Source organism: Homo sapiens, chromosome X (genome assembly GCF_000001405.40).
Source record: "Homo sapiens chromosome X, GRCh38.p14 Primary Assembly".
In the NCBI taxonomy this organism is placed as follows: domain Eukaryota; kingdom Metazoa; phylum Chordata; class Mammalia; order Primates; family Hominidae; genus Homo; species Homo sapiens.
This window is the reverse complement of record NC_000023.11, coordinates 100061897-100071686: the sequence shown is the minus strand read 5'-3', so window position 1 is coordinate 100071686 and position 9790 is coordinate 100061897. Positions and strand designations below refer to the sequence as shown.

At 36.4% G+C, this 9790-nt stretch overlaps 1 annotated feature.

Annotated features, from left to right (window-relative positions):
* Positions 631-1576: an enhancer, noted in NCBI's record as "OCT4-NANOG hESC enhancer chrX:99325109-99326054 (GRCh37/hg19 assembly coordinates)". NCBI's record gives its function as "activates a minimal SCP1, AML or CMV promoter by ChIP-STARR-seq in naive and primed H9 embryonic stem cells {active_cell/tissue: H9 hESC(naive and primed)}" and the evidence as "EXISTENCE:reporter gene assay evidence [ECO:0000049][PMID:30033119]".

The window sequence follows — 9790 nt, the reverse complement described above, 5'->3', positions numbered from 1 at the left end:
AATAGTTTGGAAATAATAGGACAACCTGTCTTCTAGGATCTTAGCTTAGTTTACCTTGTACTGTAGTCAAAACATGTTTTGACCTTTGATTATATATGTATTTTTGCTTCTGTTGAAACTGCATTGCCTCAATCAAAAATAGGTGTTCATCATCTAATATGTTCCAGGGTCTGGTGATATTCAGGACACGGTAATGAATTAGACATAATATTTCACTGAAGAGAGTTCTAAATCTAATAACTGTGCCACTTCAGTAGCAGAAGTTGGTTTTCATGTGGACTTGACCATATTTACCACTTATACAATATATGAATGATCAAGAAAAGCTTTGATGTAGGAGGTTAAAGTCTTTACCAGTTGGCAAGGCAATGTCAGTGCCCTTTACTGACAAGGATTTTCAGACGGGGGAAGGATTAGATTTAGATTTCTCTTTAGTGGCTGTTTGGATCCACATCTATGCAAACTCGTAAAGATGAATAAGTATCAGAGGGCAGAGTTTGGTTCAAATATAAAACTTGAAACAATTTGAAAATTTAATGTGCGCCTCAGTTCTATAGAAGTGTTTAAATAAATGCTAAATGACCAGAGGTCTGGGTGGTGGTAGAGTTCTTTCATGAATTTAATAGGAGATTGACCTCGATGGTCTTTCAGGTTCCTTTTAGCTCTGAGGTTCTATAAAACATGGAGAACTCTCTAGTGGATTAGATTTCCATGTTGTTAGCAATAATTGTTTTTTCAGCATTTCTCTGTTGGCATAATAAAAAACATGTAGTTTGTTGGGCAGTTTAATTCCTTAATTTCACCCTTGGAGAGTATAACTTGGATAATTTCTTATATAAAGGTACACAAGACTCTTGGGATTCTAATGTTTTCTTATTGTCAAAATAAAGTATCTATAATGGTACTTGACTCACAGTAAACAGCAGAATAGTACGTGTCTATTGCTATGTGCAAAGTACTTTCTCTTATCAAAGAGCACACCTTTATCTTAGTTCTTACCAAAGAAACCTCAATTTTTTTCTGCTTCTACCTTCTGGGATTCCCCCAGTGTGGCCTAGTGAATTACCCCCCTGTAGTTTCAGCTTTGTTTCAGTTCCCAAACCAATCCCCCTTTAAAGCTTTTGATTGTTATTCTCCCTGCTGGTCTACTCAGGAAACGATTGCCTAGCACTGATCTCTGGGCTCCTATAGTGTTCTTAAGTCACTTTGTATTTGTCTGTACTATACAGACTAGTGGCCTACAGGACCTGTGACACAGTATTCTAATGCTGACAACTGTTCTTCTGTATTGACTCTTGAGTTCCAGCTTTTCCTTCCTGAGTACCCCAGTTCGCAGATTTAAACTGTTGGTTTGAACTATGCTCAACAGTCATGTTCTGATAATTGGTCTAGTGTATCTTCCTTTTTCATCTGGTATAATAATAGTAATAATAGCTATCATATATTGGTGCTTACTATGTGGCAACTTCACCATACTTTTAAAATAGAGATGCAAAACTGAAAAATTCAGAGAAGAGTAGTAAACAAGATTAGAATGGGTTTTTCTTTTCATATGAGAACATGCTACTGGGATAGGGATTTTACTTTAAAGGCAAGAGGTAATTGGAATCTCATCTTCAATGGTTGTTATGGGGAGAGATATTTAATAGCTTTTTTATTCAGAGATTTAAAAATGGAAAAGTGCTTAAAACAGAAGCAGTAGAAATTTCTATTGAAAATAATGAAAACCTTTATGGTTATCAAGGTGTAGAAAACTCACTATGGGCAACCAAAGACTGTTGATTAGCCTGTTCCTGGTTTAAAAAATTGCTTCAAAGCTGGCTACAGAAGGCTGTACAATTCACAAAATAATCTAAGAGCTGTTTTAGGTACTGTGTAAACATGGAGAGAATGAAAAACATGTGAAAGATTGATATTATTAGAGCTAAAATATTTTGCTGATTGACTTCAAGAGACTTGATAACTGGTCCTGGAATGTTTCCTATCCAGCTGCCTGAAGGCTGGAAGATGGACCCTCTAAAGTTCATCTAACGCTCAGATTCTCGACATTCTCTGACGTTTCAATAGGGAATGCAAGCTGTTTTGGATCAGACAGAAAACTTGGTTACTTCTCTCAGCATCAGAATTCAAAAATGCACATTTTTCATGATCTCTGTGATGAACAGGCAATTTGCATGTTTTGATTTATCACTCTTAATGATCATAATTAAATATGATTCATCATTGTAGTTTTACTAATAAATCAAAGTAGATCACAAGGCAAAATCATTTGTCCTATATAGCCATTTGTGCACTTTTATTCGGAAAGAAAAGATTATACAAGGGAGAAGAAAAAGACTTAATTTAGATTCCAGTGTTAACAACACCTTACTCTGCAAGACTATAGTAGACATTTTCTCAATATCCACAGGAATTCTAAGAAAGAGTTAAGACTGGGACTTCAGTTTTCTCACATGTGAGATGTTGCTAAACATATATAAATACATTTGTGTACATAAATAAATATATAAAACCTATATAGGTGCTATATATATGCTAAATATATTACTTTATGTGATAAGATATTGGAAGGATTGAATGAGATGTATGTACAAAACATCTAATAAACTGCATGGCACTCAGAAAAAGCCCAATAAATGTTAGCTACTTGCTCAGTGTATTATTTTTCAGTACATTCCTGGGGCATCTTTGCAATAGTATTGCAATGCTGATTCATACTTAGCTTATAGTCAGTTATAAATTCCAGGTCTCTCAAGCTATACTAATTTTTAATGGGGGCTCTTCCATCCTGTATCTGTGGTTATCTTTTTTTGATCTTTAAGTCCAAGCTTGTTCCTAATGCTTTATGTTTTCTCCTGTTGGCATTATTCCCCTTTGTAGGACCATTTTACCAGTTTATCAGTGCCAATTTGTATGTTATTTCTGTATCTATAACACTGCCAGTTTTAAGATCATATAAAGGCCGGGCGCGGTGGCTCACTCCTGTAATCCCAGCACTTTGGGAGGCCGAGGCAGGCGGATCACAAGGTCAGGAGTACGAGACCAGCCTGACCAACATGGTGAAACCCCGTCTCTACTAAAAATACAAAAATTAGTCGGGCGTGGTGGCGTGCGCCTGTAATCCCAGCTACTCAGGAGGCTGATGCAGGAGAATTGCTTGAACCCAGGAAGCAGAAGTTGCAGAAGTTGCAGTGAGCAGAGATTGCACCACTGCACTCCAGCCTGGGCGGCAGAGCGAGACTGTCTCAAAAAAAAAAAAAAAAAAAAAAAGATTATATAAAAATTTGATTAACATACTCTTACTTTCTTAGTACTGGAGACTTGGTCAAAAGTCCTAATCCCTTTGCCTTTGCTCAACAGAAATGCTAGCTCTGCTCAGAAGTCCATAGATACCTAATAAGGGGCTATGAAAGAAGGTGGAACATGCTTAATCATTTTGCAACTTGAATTTTTATTCTGACTTCTTATGGGCCCTGGATGTCCAGTTACAGTGTTACTTCTGTGGCTAGAATTAGGTTGTTCATAGATGGTTTCTGTTTCCCAGCCACCCAAGTTTTATTAATGTCAATTTTACTTTCAAACTGTGTGGACAACAGTAGTCCTTGGGATGTGACTATTATTACAACTTAATTAAATCCTTTTATAAGTGTATAATAAAATACAAAATCAAATGGGCTAAGATTTAACTGCTCAGATTTAATTTGCTGGTTGAAGAATTAAAATAAATCAGTTTGAAATGTTTTCTAGTTTCTGTGAGAGGTAAATATTTAAAAATAACTATTGTTCATTGAAGATCACTTGGGTTTAACCTATCTTCTAAAATACAGTTTGTTTTTATGGAGATAATTGAAAGAAATTTAGAATGAATCACTGAGTTTAGGTATAGCATGGGGCTGTCCAAAAGTTCATCAATTCATATTACGTGAAGAAATTGGGAAACTAAGTAGGTATCATTTAGCCTAGTCTTCAGAGTAATTACTCTTCAGTTGATTTAGCATACTAGATAAAAATGAAGGTTAATTCCTATGCTAATTGAAAAAATTTTGTTAGCTTTTTTATTGAGTATTGCAATGCACATAGATTAATTGTAAGCTTTAGTATATTGCATTCAGATCTCTATCATATATAAAACACATAGATCAGAGCATGTCAAAATTTAGCTTATAATATGAATTAATGCAAGACATACTTGATCTTTGTAAGATAAAATATTTCACTGGAAAATAATAAATAATGAGGGAGGTAGCTTCTGAAATATTGTTTAGGGTTATTAGGGGCCACAGGCAAAGAAGAGGTGGTGGCAGTCCTGCTTCTCCCTTGTGTTAATGAGAAAATAATTGTTTGAGAATATCTTTGGTTTCAAGCAAAATCCCAGCAGGGAGGGCTTTGAAGATTTGTTCTTCATACCCTTTGATGAAGAGAGTGCTAAAAAGACCTTAGAAAGATGTTAATCAAAATTGTTAAAGTTCCAGTATTCTAAATCTCCTTCACTGGAGGAAAAAATACATTCAAATAAACTTCCTTCTGCATACAGATTCCAGTACTGTTTGTTGAAGTTGTCATTGTGAATGCATTGTAATGTACTTAATGTACGTCCATCTTGAGTTCCCTAAGCACCTTGATTCCACTTCATAGAGCAGCCATTTGATTTATGCCTCAGCACACCAGGATGGCTCTAGTGTTGTCTTCTAGTATGTTCACCTTTCCCCTCCATAATGTAGATTTGATACCCATTTCAGTATTTCAATAAATAACAAGACCCTGTGATTTTCTTCTCGAGAATAAATAAAAAGCTTCACCTGCTTATTCCAGGATCCTGATAGAGGACTCAAAAAAATGGAAGAGATTTTCACTTGACCCATGGTTCTCAATTCATTTACATTTTGCTTAGTATGGTGACTCTTGGCTTTGTGTCTCCATGTGCTGAAAAGGAGATGAACTTTCACTGAAATATATTTATATATTGCAGTAAAGATTAAATTCATCAAAATCACTAACAGATTTTTTTTTTGACCTTGACTGCAGGAAGAAAGAAACAAGACAATAAACTTTCATCAATGATTTATTCTAACAACTTCCTTGGAGTGTCTTGAAGTCAGTATAAATTTGGTTTGGAATTCTATACGTTTACTTATACCCCTAAATAATAATAATGAATGGCCAGAATGCTGGTTTAAGAGGCCCTGCAGTTTATCAATCAACATATATTTGTTTAGTTTACTACGCCAGTCACTAAGGATTCTTTTATATGCCTTATGTCCTATGTCACAAAAATGAATGAAGGCACATTATAATAATGGACAACAAAAAAACATTGAAACAAAAAATGATTTCAATAACCAGAAGCCCTATTCCCTGAGCATTTTGGCTTATCAAGCTTCCTTAAATACAAGCCTCACTGGTCCAATCCAGGTTAGCTTAGATGAATATTTATTCTTCCTGAAAAAAATTTTATTTTTGTCCAAGACTACCATTTTTGGTGCTTTTATAGGTTATTTTTAATGTTTATTTTAGGTTCACCAGTACATGTTCAGGTTTGTTATATAGGTGAATTGTGTGTCATGGGGGTTTGGTGTACAGATTTCGTCACCCAGGTAATAAGCATAGTACCAGGTAATAAGCATAACAGTTTTTTGATACTCATCCTCCTCCCACCTTCCAGCCTCAAGTACGTGCTGGTGTCTGTTGTTCCCTTCTTCTGAATAAAATCTTAAAATCAACATAATAACTGAAATATAGAAACTGGACCTGGCATCTGAAGACTGAAGTTCAAATTCAAATTTTGATATTAATCAGCTATGTGACCTAGTTAATCAATTTCTCAATGTTTCAGTTTTCTCATCTGTAAAATAGGGATGACAGTACTTAAGGTACAAGGCTGCTATAATGGTTAAATAAAGCTGGGTGCGGTGGCTCACACCTGTAATCCCAGCACTTTGGGAGGCTGAGGCAGGAGGATCACTTGAAGTCAGGAGTTTGAGACTACCCTGACCAACATGGCGAAACCCTCTCTCTACTAAAAATACAAAAATTAGCTGGACGTGGTGGCACGCGCCTGTAATCCCAGCTACTCGGGGGGCTGATACATGAGAATCACTTGGGCATGGGAGGCCAAAGTTGCAGTGAACCAAGATTGTGCCACTGCACTTCAGCCTGGGTGATGGAGTGAGACTGTCTCAAAAATAATAATAATAATAAAGTTTAAATGAGATAATGTGTAAGAAAATGCTTGCAAACTGTAAAACGTGACATATAATTTTTATTATTCAAACAGTTGATGTTTTATAGTCTGGAGAATTGTTGCATTGATCTTATGCTCTCTGGAGTATCTAAATCACCTTGGTGCTTAATTCTTGTTTATTAAAACACTTGAGTGTTCCTCTACTACTCAATCTGCCCTTGAGTGGTGGTAACAATTTCCATATGATTGGTAAAGGTAAGAGATCAAGAAAGATATAAGAATACTTTGCTATATGATATTGATGAACAAAAGTGCAATATATAATGTATTTGTATATGTTAAAGCCTCACATGTCACAAAACTGCTTTCTTAACTAGATGTTTAGATACTTACGTGGTAGTTTAGTCCTCCAAAGTCCAGATTCACTACATAGTTTCTTTTGTTTGCTTTCCCTGTAGTGCCAGGCCAGTCTGCCTGATTCTGATTTATATTTATTGAATATATTGTATGGGTGAATGGTAAATAGGCATTCTGTTTTTTTGTTTATTTGTCTTAGTATCTTCATTTGGGCTTTCCACAGGGAAAGTGTTCAGTTTCCTGAGGAGCACAGAACCTCTCACTGCATCTACCTACCCGCTCCTCTCCCGGAGAGCTAAACATTTCCACTGGAGCATTATAGCTCCAATGTACCCCTTTCATCTCCATAATGTAGATTTGATGCCCATGTCGGTGTTTCAATAAATTACAAGACCCTGTGATTTTCTTCTCTAGAATAAATAAAAAACTTCATCTGCTTATTCCAGGATCCTGATAGAGGACTCAGCTTGAGCCCGGACAGTTTTCCAAAAGAAGTCATGAAGGCTTTTATTGTCCAAATAATTTTAGGCTAAGCAAATCCAGTCTCTGGAGAAGGTCCTGGGGAGAACAGTGGTGCAACATTGTTTTCACACCAAGAAGTAAAATTGATCTTTAAATGAGCTCTTATTTTGCTTCCCGTCTCCTACAATTTTAAAGTTCACTTTTCTACAATTTGTTTTTATTCTTCGCAAGTAACTTATGATATTAAACTGTCAGTTATCTGTGGAAATAAGGCCAACCTGTATAATTGAAATCCATTGATAATCATAAAGACTCGTTTTCAGCTTCTGTCTTCAATCTTCTTCCTCCTAAATCCACTTTAAATAAAGACAGATCTGCTAATAAGCAGCCCACTGTGGTGCTTGTGCTTTCCTCCTTCCCTTCTCATCCTACATTGGAGATCTTAATGAACAAAGACATGCCTAAAAGCCAGGCAGTCAGGAGGAGGAGAAGCGGAGGTCACGGATAATCTGGAAAATGAATAATCAGTGCCTTGAAAATGAGAGGTGACTACACTCATGTTTATGTACGATTCTTCTCAAGTGACATTTGTGTCTTCCATCCCACCTGCTACTCCAGGAATTTGGTTTTCTGTCCTTGGGAACTACAGAGTCACATAAGTTAAGAACTGCCTGCCTTCTTGTCTCAAAACCATTATTTATAGCCATAGAATGACAGAGATAGAAGGGATGTCACAGGTCATAGAGCAACTCATTATATTTTGCAGATGAGCAATTAGGATCCAGAGGGAGAAATGACTCCTTCAAAGTCATGGAGCTTGTTAGCAGCAGAAACGGGACTGAAAGCCAGGTTTTTGGACTCCTAGTCTAAGTTTATTCTGTCACATCTCACCTTTCAATCTTAAACTTTATTACTCTAAAGCAGAGGTCCCCAACCTTTTTGGCATCAAGGACTGGTTTTGTGGAAGACCATTTTTCCACGGACCAGAGGTGGGGGATGGTTTCAAGATGATTCAAGTGCATTACATTTATTGTGCACCTTATTTCTATTATTACATTGCAATATATAATGAAATAATTATACAACTCATCATAGTGTAGAATCAGTGGGAGCCCTGAGCTTGTTTTCCTGCAAGTAGACAGTCCCATCTAGGATTGATGGGAGACAGTGACAGATCTTCAGGCATTAGATTCTCATAAGAAGTGCATAACCTGGATCCCTTGCATGCTCAGTTCACAATAGGGTTTAGGCTTCTATAAGAATCTAATGCCACTGCTGATCTGACAAGAGGCAGAGCTCAGGTGGTAATGCAAATGATGGGGAGTGGCTGTAAATACAAATGAAGCTTCACTCGCTCGCTCACTGCTCACCTCCTGCTGTGTGGCCCGGTTCCTAACAGACCACAGACTGGTACTGGTCCACGGCCTGGGGATTGAGGACCCCTGCTCTAAAGTAGTCACTGTGAAGTCAGTTCTGCTGATTTCATCTCTTCATATTCTCCCTAGGATGGAAGATGCTAGACACTCTTTCTCCTGATGTTCTTTTACTGTGTTCACTTCCGTTTCACTCCATCCTCAATGTCACTGCTTTAGTTCAGGCTCTCATTGCCTCTGAGATTTTGCACATATTATTCCATGTAGTGATCTCTTTTCCTTTGTCTACCTAGAAAATGTTTGTGCTTCAAGATGATGAAGGCTTTAGCTGAACACTTCCTGATCACTTGGACAGAGTTAATTATATGCTTTGTGATATCACTGAATCATTTACATAGCTTCATTATATTACCGTATGATAAATATTTGCATGTATCTCCTGTATTGCACTGTGAACTTCTTGAAAGAAAGAACTTTGTCTAATTTTCACTCCCTTCTTTCTGTACACAGTGCCTGAATGTAGGGCTCAGTAAATAAGCATTCAATGTGCCAATGTCCAATATAATTTGTAGGTCACAGTGATGGCCAGACATTTAAGTTAATAAATACAGATGACCTCTTTTTATTAGTTGGGCTATGTTATTTTGGTTAATATAACCTTCATGTTCATTTTAAAAGTGTCAATCAGTCATACTTTTGAAAATCTTGCATAGGAAGCAGAATTTGAATTAATGAATTTGTTTGGAAAGCACATTTACAAGGTAAGCCCACAACAGAAAACTGTCTGTGTAATGTATTTTTTAAAATAATTTAAATATATAAATACTAGAGCTGCCTTTTCAATCCTTAGTACTGAAGCCTTACATCACTATCAAGAGAAAATATAATTAGGTATATGAAATGTAAAAAATTATAGTACATTAACATGAGAGTATCAATACATTGTTTTTCTTGGCATATATTTGAGAAACATCAAGGGAACACAGTGTTGTTTATTCATATCATGAGCTAGAAACAAACCTAATGCAATGGGATGATTTTCTGTGCTAAGACCTAAACAAGATATTTAAAGAATGAATACTTGGGTATTTTTGCTTGTTTATATTTCTGTCTGAAAGTTTACATACCTGAAAAGTTGGTAAGTATTGCAAATATGGGACTATTGCATCCAGGCAGAATTTTTTGCCTGTTCCACCACTGCTTCTGCTTCTCTGCTTCCTTCTCTATCTCTTCATCTTCTTATAGCATCATTTGCTTTGTTGTTACAATTGCAAAAAGTTGTGACAATTGTAAAAAAGCTGTATGGGCCATGGTCATTTTAACGATAACTTTATGTATACAGTTGAGGTTCAAGTTTAAGCATCATTCACCATGAATCTAAGGTCTTCCCTCCTATGTCACAGAGGTTGCTGCATCT